The sequence below is a fragment of the Homo sapiens genome, chromosome 20, assembly GCF_000001405.40.
Source record: "Homo sapiens chromosome 20, GRCh38.p14 Primary Assembly".
Taxonomy (NCBI): domain Eukaryota; kingdom Metazoa; phylum Chordata; class Mammalia; order Primates; family Hominidae; genus Homo; species Homo sapiens.
This window is the reverse complement of record NC_000020.11, coordinates 36196959-36210005: the sequence shown is the minus strand read 5'-3', so window position 1 is coordinate 36210005 and position 13047 is coordinate 36196959. Positions and strand designations below refer to the sequence as shown.

The 13047-nt window shown below is 52.5% G+C and overlaps 1 protein-coding gene across 54 annotated transcripts in view, besides 1 other annotated feature; it reads right to left on the bottom strand.

Moving 5' to 3' along the window:
* Nucleotides 1–13047, bottom strand: part of EPB41L1 (erythrocyte membrane protein band 4.1 like 1) — a 141386-nt gene that overhangs the window by 22794 nt on the left and 105545 nt on the right. For 31 of the 54 annotated variants that reach the window (NM_001258331.2, XM_047439972.1, XM_047439975.1 and 28 more), the window contains 2 exons: nucleotides 11965–12147; nucleotides 108–518 (listed from right to left, as the gene is read on the bottom strand). In NM_001258331.2, coding sequence (NP_001245260.1) covers nucleotides 108–518; nucleotides 11965–12147 — 594 coding nt within the window. Of the gene's footprint in view, nucleotides 1–107; nucleotides 519–1597; nucleotides 1706–2225; nucleotides 4158–9028; nucleotides 9134–11964; nucleotides 12148–13047 lie in introns of all 54 variants that reach the window. The other 23 variants (NM_001258330.1, NM_001424405.1, NM_001424404.1 and 20 more) reach the window with 2 other exon arrangements.
* Nucleotides 10129–10178: an enhancer, noted in NCBI's record as "active region_17805". NCBI's record gives its function as "activates an Ori minimal core promoter by ATAC-STARR-seq in GM12878 lymphoblastoid cells {active_cell/tissue: GM12878}" and the evidence as "EXISTENCE:reporter gene assay evidence [ECO:0000049][PMID:35858748]".

The window sequence follows — 13047 nt, the reverse complement described above, 5'->3', positions numbered from 1 at the left end:
AGAGCTTCAGGCTGCAGGCTGGGTGCTCGGTCTTCTCACGGGTGGCCCAGGGCCCTCTGAGCATGCGGTGCCCAGCGGGCCTGGCTCTTGAGGAAGCTCCACTGTACCTCAAACTGGGGCATATCCGGGGTGGAGCAGGCCCCTCGATCCGGGCTGTCCTCAATGCCCCCAGACTCATCATCCTGGCTGGGGGCCCCCTTGTTGAGATCCCGGGAGAACAGCAGGCCCTCAGTGTCCGAGTCGCTTTTGTCCCGGTCGAGCTCAGGCAGGCTGCGGGAGAAGTCTTCGAAGGCGCTGCCATGGTAGTCACCAATGACCGTGAAGTCCACCTCAGCCTCCAGGCTAGACGTAGAGCTGACCGTGATGCTGGAGCACTTGCGCTCAATGGCCAGGTGGTTGTCCTTCAGGAACACCGTGTCCCTCTCCTGGTCCTGGTCCTCATCGCCTGTGTCACTCTCTGGGGCCCGGGGACGTGGTGGTTTGACTTTCTCCTCGGAGCCCTCCCTCAGCCCTGCTCTCTATGGCCAGATAAAATCAAAAGAATGGGGATGTGGGGTGGGGAGAGAGAGAGAAAGAGAAATCAAGATGGTGAATGTCAGGAGAAATCTCGGGGCTGTGTCGACATCCTGAATGGAAGAGCAGGCCAGGAAATGAAAAACACCCCAGGAAAGGTTCCTTGAAATCATAACAAGCATAAAAAAAACAAAAACGACTCAAGAGTGGAGATGCCCCTTTCTGAGGGTCTCACACTGATGGCAAAAGCAAGTACAAAGCAAACGTCCTGCCAGTGACTCCTGGACAGGAGGCTCCATCCAAGGGTATTGGATCTGGGAGCTTATTGGAAGCAGCATTGCACGAAAGGCAGGGATGGAAGCCCGGACCCCAGGCCCATCCGTGCAGGTGGGCGTTGAGAAACAGAAACTAAGGAGGGAGATCCAGGGATTCAGGGAGACCCAGGAAGGGAAGGCAGAGAGGTTGGAGCCAAGAACTTTGAGGAACAAAAGAGGAAGCCAACATGTTTGTCAATTCCACTGAGTCTCCGGGGGAGGGGTCAGCATCGACTAGAGAGAAGAGCAATTCAGGGTCAGGCCTTTTGGGCACGAGCTTCTTGGGAGCTGAGTGCTACGCCAGCTCCACCCTGGGCTCCATGAGTGGACCACAGGCAAGTCAGGGAGTAGAGGCTCTGGTCCCATCAGTGTAATTGACAACAGCGGGCCAAGGCAGTGCCTCGGGGAACCAGCAACTCTTGTCCGACATACATACCTCTCAACTGGCCTGTCAGGGATTAAACACCACACACACATTTTTGGCTGGTTCATAACATTCTTTTTAAAGACCAACCTAATACCCATGAAAGATTTGTAAAGAACTTGGCTTCTGGTTCTAGGGATTCAGTGGGCTTAGACATTCACTTGCTAAGCGAGCCTCCATTTAGCCAGTTTCTGGAAGGTTGAGAGGTGTGAGGGAGACATTCCAGACAAGCCAGAGTTGAGCAGCACGAGAGGTGCTGCCACAGCAGGTGGGAACCTAAGGCGGCGATGCATCCTGGCCGGGTGAAGGTGACTGGGTCATCAGGGCACAGAGGGGCTGCAGAGACCTGAGGGCCCGAGGGGCTGGCAAATCTCAGGCGCCCCCCCTTCCCAGGGGTGTTGGCTGCTAAGTTGGTGGAGCGCTTCTCTTCCCTGACCGCATCTCCGGATTTGTTCTGGATTAGAGAAGACAGTTAGTCTTAAGGAGGCAGAAAGAAACTTGGCACTGGGACTGAGAGGGAACCAGAAGTGAAGGATGGAAACCTCTGGACTGTCAACTTTCCCAAGGCGGGAGAACCAGGGATGGGAAAGGATGAAGAAAGATCGCTGGACAAGCCAAGCAAGGTAGGCAGGAACCCAGCGGGTATGAGCGGCAAGGCAAAGCAGGTGTGTCATTTGCTGGTGGTGGCGCCACCTTCTCCATGGGGGTTGTGTGACCCTCTGGGCACCAGGTCACACCAAAAGCTGAGGGTCTTTGTGGCCAAGCTAACATGGGCCAAGCAGAGAAGCCCATCATTCAGCCTGAGCTACACCCAGGCCCGTTTAGGGAAAAAACTCACAGGGATGGATAAGCAGCCTCTGATTGCAGAAATGACGAGGGGCCACTGAAACATGCTTCTAAAAACTACAGAGCATGCGGCCAGCCCCCATGGGCGGGGAGCAGCGGTGGGGGCGGGGGCTCACGCGGCCAGTTACCCCAGTTCCAGTAGCTTCTGCCAGCGTGGTTTCACAGCCTGAATTGGGGGACACGGGCTCTAGTTCCGTGTGTGCTTCCTGGTAGGATGCAGAAGTGTCCTCCCTGAAGTGTCTGGTAGCCAGAGGTATCACTGTGGAATGTGTGGCTTTGGGGCTGGCAAAGTCCCCTGGGGGCTGGAGTTGGGCGAAGCCCAGGTCTGAGAGCGTACTCCGCTGCTGCTCTGCTTGTCCCACGGGTGCCTCTGAAGATACGTCATTTGGAAGGGACCTTGCTTCACCCTCACTCATTCGGCGAGTTTCAGCTCCGTGGGTCTCAAATATCCGAATTTTGTTGGCCACTGAGGTCTTGCTAATATCTTCTAGGGAGCCCTCTTGGTCCCCAGCCTGGAAAGAGGTCATCTCCCTTCGCTTCCCTGAAGGGAACCCAAACCCCAGAGGTATGCGCCCCTCAGCTTCTTCAGGGACTACTCTGGGCTTTCTGCTGGTGATGGGAGGAGGCCTGCGCTCACCTCCTGTGGCAGGGGACACCACAAACCCTACTTGGTCCTTGGGCTCTGGGCTGGCTTTCGAAAGATGGACATGTCTAAGAAAGGGCTCCCTGAGCTCCGAAGGCTCCCCTGACCCATGGGAGGTTGGGCTTGGAGAAGCTTCCTCCAGAGCTGCCAGGTCCTCAGAATGACCAGGGGAGGCTGGCAGGGGAATGATCACCTCCATGTGAAGAAATGCTGAAGCCTCGCGGTCCTTCAGCTCAGCCCCTCCTTTCTGGGTGGGAACCACTCCCCTCTCTTTGGGTGGGAAGTTGCCTCTGTCTGGTTTGACTGGCTTCCTGACATTCAGAGGGATGGCCCGAGGAAGGGCGCAGGCCTGGGGGTCGGGATGCACGCCCTGTCCTCTGTGAGGAGGGTGCTTCTTCAGTTCCTCTGTGGGACTTTCCTCAGCCTTTCCCAGCAAATCTCCACTCACGGGGGTCCCTTCCTCTCGGGCTGCGCTGGCTGTCAGGTGGGGAAACTCTCCTTCCACTCCCCACTGGGCATCTTCCCAGCCTTCAGCAAACGTCTGTCCTGCGGGAGATCCCTTCAGGTCACCAGGTCCTCCATGGTTCTTGGGGGTCCCTGCCCCTTCCTTTGGGGAAGTCATGTGGGCTTCGTCCTTGCTCCTGCTGGAAGCAGCAGCAGAAACCCTCAGGTCTAAGGAATTCAGCGTCGGCCTGGGCTCACCTCCGGGAGGGGCATCCAGGCGCCCTTTTCTCTCCTCCAGGGGTGGAGGGAGGACTTGGTCTTCTGAGTCTTTTTCTTCATAATTTAAATAGAAGCTCCTCTCTGCAAAGGAAGTATCAGTTTCATTGCTCAACTCAGCTCTGGCTTCTGCGTGGGCTGGATCCAATAGAAACGACTGGAGTCCTCCCTTGTCGGAGGCTGGAGAGAGGACGTCCACCTCTGCTGGCCTGGTCCCTGGAGCAGTGGGTCTCCCACAAGTGTGAGGCTCCTCCAGCCCCTTCCTCAGCTCTGTCTGGCCCTCCGGCTGACCATCTGACATGCAGCGGTTCCTGATGGTTGCCTCTCTGGTGTCTGCCCTGAGCTCAGAGCCCTCGAGGAGCTTTTCTGCCAATGTGCGGCCGGAAGCCAGGGCAGCCCCTCCTGGGCTTTCCCTGATCCAGGGGCCTTCCTCCCCCACTGACTCAAAGTCTTCAGGACTTGCAATCATTTTTCCTTGTTGCTGGGTGTTTGCTCTTCTGTTTCCCACCATTTCTTCTGTGGCCACTTCCACTTTGAACTTGTCCACCAGAACGTCTACCTTGGAGAGTCTGCCGTTGGCAAGGATACCAGCAAGGCCTGCCTGCCTTTCTTCCTGCTGCATGGTGGTCACTTTTAGGAGACCGAGCTCTTCTGGCCTAGTGTACTCTCTTTCTATAAATACCCAATGCTCTGAACCCTGTGTTTCAATTGGAGCAAGAAGAGTTAACATGAAATATCAGGTACCTGAAGAATGGGTGAGTTTTTCCCTTTGTAAGAGGGGACCAATCTACCACTGAAATGTTTGACTTTGGGACAGCACATCCCCAGAACTGGCTGGGGAGAGGAAGGCATGACGTGCCAGCCATTCTCATCAAGGTCCCTCTTCCCATCAGGCACTTGATAAATTATTGACCAATTTTCCTCAACCACTGCCCCCAACTTGATAAAATGGGATGGGGTCTTATGCCCTTCCCATGTCAGCCATGGGGAAATGGAGATCCACAGATGGGCCAGGACCCTTCCTCTTCCTCTTTTAATAACATAACTGCCACCGTCAGAGGGGAAAGTCATTTCCATCACATGGAGTCTTTGAATGTTAGAGTCAAAAGTACTCTTACAATGTTATCCAGTCTCATTTCCATATTGTGTAAATGAGGAAACAGGTCTAGAGATGGACAGTGACTTGCCCAAGGTCACTGTTAGTAGAAGACAGAGTCAGGAAAAGAAAGCCTGATTTTTGAGGCCGGAGATCTTTGCTAACTTATTTCACAACCATGGAATATGGGTGCCAACTGTGACCTAATGGCAAATTGAAGGGATGCATTAAGTTCCACAGGCCACAGCCTGAAATCGAACCTTTCTACAAGGGCTTCTGGGAAGAAAGCATAGTAGTCATGGAGATACCACATGACCACGTTAGTGCCAGGCACCACAATGGCTTAAACAGCTTGAACACTGTGGTGTTCAATCTAAAAGAAACAAATACCAGGGCCCATTCTAATTCTAACAAAACCCATAGAAAGAGCAGAAAAGAACTCAATAGAATGCATCAAGGAAGGGAGAGAGGTAAAGATCTAAGCATCATCGTGCATCAAAGGCACCAGAGGCCAAGCGCGGTGGCTCACGCCTGTAATCCCAGCACTTTGGGAGGCTGAGGCTGGCAGATCATGAGGTCAAGAGATCAAGACCATCCTGGCCAACATGGTGAAACCCCATCCCTACTAAAAATACAAAAAATTAGCCAGACATGGTGGCATGCACCTGTAATCCCAGCTACTTGGGAGGCTGAGGCAGGAGAATTGCTTTAATCTGGGAGGCGGAGGTTGCAGTGAGCCGAGACTGTGCCACTGCACTCCAGCCTGGTGACAGAGCGAGACTCCGTCTAAAAAAAAGAAAGGCCAGGCGCGGTGGCTCACACCTGTAATCCCAGCACTTTGGGAGGCTGAGGCAGGAGAATTGCTTGGACCTGCGGGGCAGAGGTTGCGGTGAGCCGAGATCGCACCAATGCACTCTATCTAGCCTGGGCAACAAGAGCAAAACTCCATCTCAAAAAAAAAAAAAAAAAAAAAAAAAAGCACCAGATCGCAGCACTGTTAGGCCATCTCCCAACAGCCTCTACCTCCCCCAAGAGTTCTTCAAACAATGCCTGGGAGGGATGATGGACTTCTAGGGTGGTTAGAAAAGCAGGAAGGTCACTGGGTTTTTCATCTTGTGGCCACAGGATACTTCCCACAAAATTTTAATGCAAGTCGGCTATGTGACAGAAATACAGAGCTGCCCTGGTAAAGTTGGGGGTGTGGGCGGCCTTAATGCCCTGAGGTACCTCCCTCCTCACTGCCCCAACTAGAGCCCCTCGTGATACAGATATGGAAACTCAGACCTGGAGAAGCATCTTGCCCAAGGCCATACAGGGAGCAAGTGGAAAGGCAGGCCTTGAACTCAGTCTCTGACGCCAAGTTCTGTGAAGTGTGTCCTCTCCACCCTACCATGACCACCTCCACAGGGAGACATGCCCAGAACTTCTCCTGGCAGCAGGAGGGGGAAGGTTTATATGACCTTGGGCTCCTTTTCAGGTTATGACTTGGTGAGGAGTCTGTTAATCCCACCCCACAGGGAGGAGGAGTCTGTCAGATCCCATAAGATCTGAAACATTTTGAAGGCTCAAGAGAGCATCATAAACCCTCTGTCCCCACTGTGTTTTGAGAAAATCTCTCTGTCAGGGAATCAGAACCCATTAAAATAATCTTGTTCATGGGAAAGCGAGATAAAAGGAAGGGGGGAAGGTCTAGGTAAAGTCTGGGGTGGGTTTCTGAGCTTTTACTTCAGGTCATTAAGGCTTCAGGACCACAGCTCCTGAACCATCCCAAAGGGACGTGCTTTGAGAGCCTACGGAAGCTAGGTCCTTTTGCTCATTTCCTTGAGAAGCAGGTTCCTTCAGCTGCCTCCATTCCAGCTGTACTGACATCCGCCTGGCAATGATGGCCAAAGCCAGTCAATATGCCTCCTTCTGGAACATTCCTGCCCCAATTCTAACTAGCAACTAGGCTAGATAAGCAAGAGTGAGTGGCGCAGGTGCTGGCAGAGAATGAAAAGTAGACTCTGCAGGAAGAAAGGGGAAACGTATAGTGATTGTTAGTTGCTATGTGCCAGGCAATGCCAGCCCTTTGTCTGAGTTATTAAATTTAATCCAAATGGCAACTTGTGAAGCAGATATCGTTATCCTTATTTCAGAAGGCGAAACGGTATCCCAGAGGGGAGAGGCCATGCGCAAGATCACAGGCTGAGCAGCGGGGGACAAAGTAAAATGTAGGATCCTGAAGAGGAAAAGAAAACTGAACAAAAAAGAAAAAAACTTCCACGGTGCGAAGGCACGGGTAGAGCCACACACCTGGCCCGAGGGGTTGGCGTGAAAGTCGTTCTAACCCGAATCACAAGATGGGATAATCTTAGGGTAGCCCCAGGTAGCCGCAGCCCCGCAGCCATTCTTTCTGGAGCCAGGGGACCGTCGGTGCCTTGCTCAGAGCGCCCCCTGCCGTCAGGTAGGGGCACTGCAGCAAAGGAAGCTGGCAACAGGGGTGGGGAGAAACAGAGCCAGTTGGGCTCACAGCTGTCTGCACCCAAGGCACAGACAGGAAACTCTCCAGCCTGGCTGTTCTCCTGACTCCAGGCTGTTCAGGCCCCTCCTGGAGCTCTGGGTCACATTTTGGGGCCTGCCTTTTTTTTTTTTTTTTTTTTGAGACGGAGTTTTGCTCTGTCTTCCAGGCTGGAGTGCAGAGGCGTGATCTTGCCTCACTGACAGCCGCCTCCCGAGTTCAAGCGATTCTCCTGCCTCAGCCTCCCCAGTAGCTAGGATTACAGGCACGCGCCACCACGCCCAGCTTATTATTATTATTATTATTATTATTTGTATTTTTAGTAGAGACAGGGTTTCACCATTTTGGCCAGGCTGGTCTCGAACTCCTGACCTCAGGTGATCCACCCAACTCAGTCTCCCAAAGTGCTGGAATTACAGGCGTGAGCCACCATGCCCAGCCAGGCCTGCCCTTTATACGAGGAGGGGGTCCAGGGTAAGGGGCCCTCCAGAAACCATTTCCTGGGAGAAAGTGGGAAGAGAGTGAAGTGTTCTAGGGAAGGGGAGGTGTTCAAGTCTCCGAAGGGCTGGCCTGGAGGAGGATGCAGAGCGGTAGCGGGCACCAGCGGGCAGAATGAGACCTACAGGCTGCTAATTTGAAAAGGCAGATTTCAATTCAACACGAAAACTTCCCAATAGTTAATGGGCTGCCGCCAAGGACAGCAAAAGTGCCTGCTGTGGAAGAGCTGGATGGACATTTGCAGGAGAATGATGCGGGGGCGGGGTGCAGGTTGTGGGCTCTGCTCCCCAAATGGGCACCTGTCCTTGGTCACAGGAGCATCTCTGTGTCCAGGGCATCTCTCTAGCCCTGTCCTTGGTATGCTGTTGACTCTTGTCCGATTTCCCTCAAGAGAGTGTGCGGATAGTTTTGTTCTTTAGATTGAGGAAAAATTCATAGAGTAGAAGTATGACTTATGTTTTATCACTTATGTAGCTCATTTATGTCTTTCTTAAAGTTCCAGCACGTTTGCAGCAGCTAAAGAAGTTTTCTCTGAGAATGGAGAAAGGTACAGGCCCTCAGAGGAGAGCATACATCAACAGGGGAGCGGCAGATATTGGGGAAGAAAGTTCTGCCCAGATGATCGCTCAGTAGCTTCCAACCCTGATAGTCCATAAAATCCCATCAGAGGAGGGAGCACAGCCTCCTGCCTGGGCCTGGATTCTATGCCCAGCATCCATGAAGGGCCACAGGAAGTTCAAAGAGCCCTCCACTTGCTGCCGCCCTGGGCATAGAAGCAATGGCCTCCTCATTTCAAACACTTGCCTGACCAATCTCTCTACAACCCTAAGGATACTCCTTAGAGAAAGATGTCCACTTTTGCCTGCCTCCTTGATGGGCCCAAGCTCCAGGGGAGTTCAGAGAAGACGCAGGCCGGAGATGCCTGGAATGTCGTGCCCTAACTAACCACTGCTAGACCATTCAGGCTTCTGAACAGAGAAAAGACCTTAAGGCAGAAGGCATTTGGGTGCCATGACCCCTGACCCTAAGCATAGAAGTCAGAGCCTGCTTCTAGCATGACCCCTGACCCTAAGCATGGAAGTCAGAGCCTGCCTCTAGCATGACCCCTGACCCTAAGCATAGAAGTCAGGGCCTGCCTCTAGAGTCACCTGCCTCACCAGGACCTGAAAGAGGGAGATCATTCCTGCCTCTCCTTCGAGGCCAAAGGCAATGCAGGCTGTTCTGTCTTCCCAGAATGGTTGCAGTCCTGTCCCTCCTGAGAAACAATGGATGAGGGAGGGGCTGGCCCTTTATGGATCTCTGGGATGGGGACATTTCCTTATCACAGCATGGAGACAGCATGGGTTACCCATTGCTTCCAACTGCTTGGCAGAATCTGGTACATTCCCCTCACCCCAGAGAAAGGGTTTTCTTAAGACCACAGAGGGTGGTTCTGGGTGGGCAGGAGGAAGGGGCACAGGAAGGTGAAGACAGTAACCTCAGGAGATGCTGCGAGGCTTTTCTGAGTGAACACTTCCAAGCCTGCGGCTGCTCCAGGCTCAGGTACCAAGTCCCGCTGAGAGATGTCCTGGGTCCTCTGGGACTGCAGGGGAGGCCCAGAGCCAGAGGAAAGGGAAAGAGGGAGGAAGGGAAGGAGAGACAGAGACAGGAAGAGAGGGAAAGAGAAAAAGTAGGAGAGAGAGACACACACACAAAGTCCATAAATAGCCCAGCTTTTTAAGTCCCATATCTGTAGGATTTGTGGATTAGGTCAGGGAGTAGCCACTCTGTGGGGTGAGCTCGGGAGGGACTGCCCTTCTGAGCCACTTAAGGGAGGGAGGCCCACAGTCAGCCCCAGTGCCCTTCCCCCATGGCCTGCCCACTCTCATTCAGAGATGTTGGAGCCATATCATTTAGACTCTGGCTCCAGATGTCTCTGGCTTAGGCTATGGTTCAACCCTGCAGTTTGGATTACAGCCCCCTTTAAACACTGAAACTTGGGTTTGGCAAATGGGAACAGTTAGAGTTCCCTCTGTTTTCCCCTTGGCCCAGATGAGGCCCAACAATATACGAGGAGGCTGCTAGGAATTCTGGATGACACAGGCATCTTCAGGATGCCCCCCACAAAACTGATTTTGGGATCAGGGATTCTAGTCACCAACAGCAACAGCCCCATGACTGCCCAGCACCTTCCAGTTGAGAAAGTGCTTTTATATTAATTATTTCACTCTACTTTCCCAACTACCCTATGGAATGACCATTTTGGTCCTCCTGTAGGTGGACTAGGCAATGCGGCTCAAAAAGGGGAAGTTACCCAAGGAGCCAGTCAATCCTTGTCTATGGCACCTCCCCATCTCCCAAATCTTCAAAGGCCCCTAAATGCCAAGGGGGCCTGTAAGCCAGTTCTGAATGGTCCATAGCTCCAGGGTGAGCTCCTGGACCATAGTTCTTTCCAGCAGTGGACTATACTTCTTGCGGCTGAGCAGGGCTGGGAGGTGGAGCAGATTCCACCTTTTACTAAGACCCATCTTCTAGCAGTTCCAGCTATCACCAGCAGGTGGGGCACACCCTACACCAGGCTACACTGAGACACTCCAGAGGTCTAGACCTCACTTCCCAGGGCTCATCCTCCCCTTCTCTTCTGGAGACTCACTCTTTCAGTAGCCTCTGCATCCCACCTCGCCCACAGCCAGGCCAAGCTTGGCCAGCCCACATCAGGATTGATTAGGGGCCACGCTGAAGGGCAGAAGAGGATGTTGTTCACTGGATCACTAGACCAGCCTCCGCCACCCAGCCCAGGGTCTTGCTTGTGCCAGAGGCAAACAGAGGCCCTTCATGGATGCAGAGGTCTGCCCTTCTTCCACAGCACCAGCCTTAAAGGCCCCCAAAGCATCCCTAATTCTGTGACTCACAAACCAGAAAGCCACCCCAGTAGCTCTCTCTGGACTTATGCCTTACTAGACAAAGCCGTCTGTTATCTGGCAGGTTCAGGCCATGGTAGCACTGATCCAATAAAATGCTCTGCTAATTAGATCATGGGTGCATCACCAATTTTCAAAGCATTAGAGGGCAGCACACATACAATTGACTCTCTACCTGGTCTTTATGTGATTTGGTCTTGCTCCTAGGCAGCTGTGATTTAATAGCACATACAATAGCCTGGGTCACAAGAAAATTGGGTTCTGGTTCCTCTTCCATCAGCTAAGACACTGAATAAGTCCTTCCTCTTTCTGGGTCTCGGTGCCCCTATCTGTAAAATGAAGGTTCTGAGCAGGTTCCCAGGGCCCTTTCAACTTTTATTTTATTTAGGAAAGGGGAATTTTATTTGTTAAAGAAAAGTCGTCTGTGAATGCCTCTAGTTAAATTAGTATGCTTGACTTTAACACTTTGGATTGAAACATGCTTTCTTTATCCTGATTTGAAGTTAACCTCCTCTGTGGAAGAGTCTGGAACTCTCAAGTGAAACAATAACTCACACTGCGCATCAAGGTACTCTGCTAGTCCCTCTACGTGCATTATCTCGTTTAATCCTTACAACATCCCCATGAAGTAGGTGCTTTTATTATCTCTACCCAACGAGCCTCAGAGAGGTTAAGTAACAAGCCCAAAGTCATCCAGCTGGCAGGCAGCGGAGCCAGAATTCAAACCCAGGCAGTGCAAGTCTACACCACAACCGTATTTGAGACCAGTAAGCAATAGCTTCAGGGAGAAAACACCTAAGTATAAACTGGGGTAAATATCGCCAAGATTTAGCAAGGGCTAAAAATACTGACTTGAGAGTCTAAATGCAGTGCTTCCCCAAATCCTAACTTTATCTCTTCTTCAATCGAGAAAACACCCCACTCTTTCCACTCGGAAAGGCAGGTCATGTGAGATCCTTTTCTGAAGCCTCAGAAGCAGGTCTGATTTCTGTGAAGGGCCCATTCCCCTCCAGTGGACTCCGAAGCCCCTTCTAGGAGGGACCACTCCCCGATCCGTGTTTTCACAATAGGCACAACAGGGTCTGGTTCTGGAGAGAGCTATTGGGATTCTCAAAATGTAGTGTGCATGAAAAGCCTCTGCAGCACTTGTCCAGATGCCGATGCCAGCACTGAGTCCAAATATCTGATTCAGTAGGTCTGGGCTGGGGCCCTGAAACCTGCATTTCTAACCAGCACCCCTTCCCCATTATACTCGGGCTGATGGAAGGGGAGTACGCCAAGCTACCATGAGTCTTGAGTTTTTCATGTTTTAAGTTGGTCTCCAGGACCCAGGATTCCAAGATTTAGTGAATTCATCTCCCTCAGCCTAATCTACCACCCTCTCCATCCCCACCAGCCCCTAAGCAGCAATGGGGGAAGCATATTGGTGTGGAGGATGAGTGTAAGTCAGGATGCAGCAACCCAATGTCTCTTTACCCAAGGCCCCTATCGAGGGGTTCAGGGCGACACCTACCTCATTGGCTTTCTCAGGGGTGCCCTTGGGGGAGGGGGAGGCGGGGGAGGAGGGCAGCCTGCGCTCCCGTTCCCAGTCTCGATCCCGGTGGATGAGTTTGCTGTTGGGCTCCTTCAGGGTCCTTTTGAGCTCATTGATGCTGGCCTGGTGCTTCAGCAAGACATCTTCTGGCTTGTCTAAGAACTAGGGATAGATGGAGAGGGTGGTGGTGTTAGGGGAACAGCTCCAAGCGGGGATGCAGGGTGCAGGGATGATGGCAGCAGTCACCATCACCACCCTCCACCAGCAACGTTATTCCCACTCTGACCTGTGTCACTCTCATGGCAGCCCCAGAGACAAACCAGGGCAAGGAGAACCACCCCAACAGGTGCACATCCCAAGGCACAGAGCACTGAAGATGAAAAAGAGGAGATGTCTAGTCAAGCCACCTTCGCTTCTCCCTTGCCTGGCTCTACAGCCTCTGAACAGCCAACCTCTACCCAAAGCCCACAGGTCTGGGTGAGTTCCCTGTGGTGCTATAAGCCCGGTCTTAGTCACAGAGGTGACTTCCCTCTGTTACAACTAAGGCATAGCAGGCAGCAACTGCCAGAGAGCTATAATAACTCACTAATCCTATTCACTGGGCTGCTCTGACTCATTCAGGTGCCTCCTAGATCCCTCCTGGATCCCAGTGTCCACTTTCTGGCTGAGACTTGGGCCACTGTACTTAACAGGATGTCCAGTCTGGGCCCCTCCTAGCCCAACATGCACAACTGCTCAGGCCCTGGGGAGGCCCACAGTACAGATCCTCCTCAAGCCAGGGACATCCAGAAGAATGGCCAAGCTCCCACACTAGGGACCAGGGGCAGGAAAAAATTGCATCTAGTCTCCTCTGTGATGGGACACTACCTTCCCCAACCACCCTGGACCTTCCAGATACCTTTCAGGTACTGACTCACCAATAGCAGACAGGGTGAGATACAGCCAGATAGAGAAACTAGAATGCTGTGGAGTGTTCAGGAAGATTAGGAGAATTAGAGACCAGGAAGAAGAGCAGTAAGTCCCACAGCTGGGCACAAGAATTGAGCCAGGTATAGCCAGAGT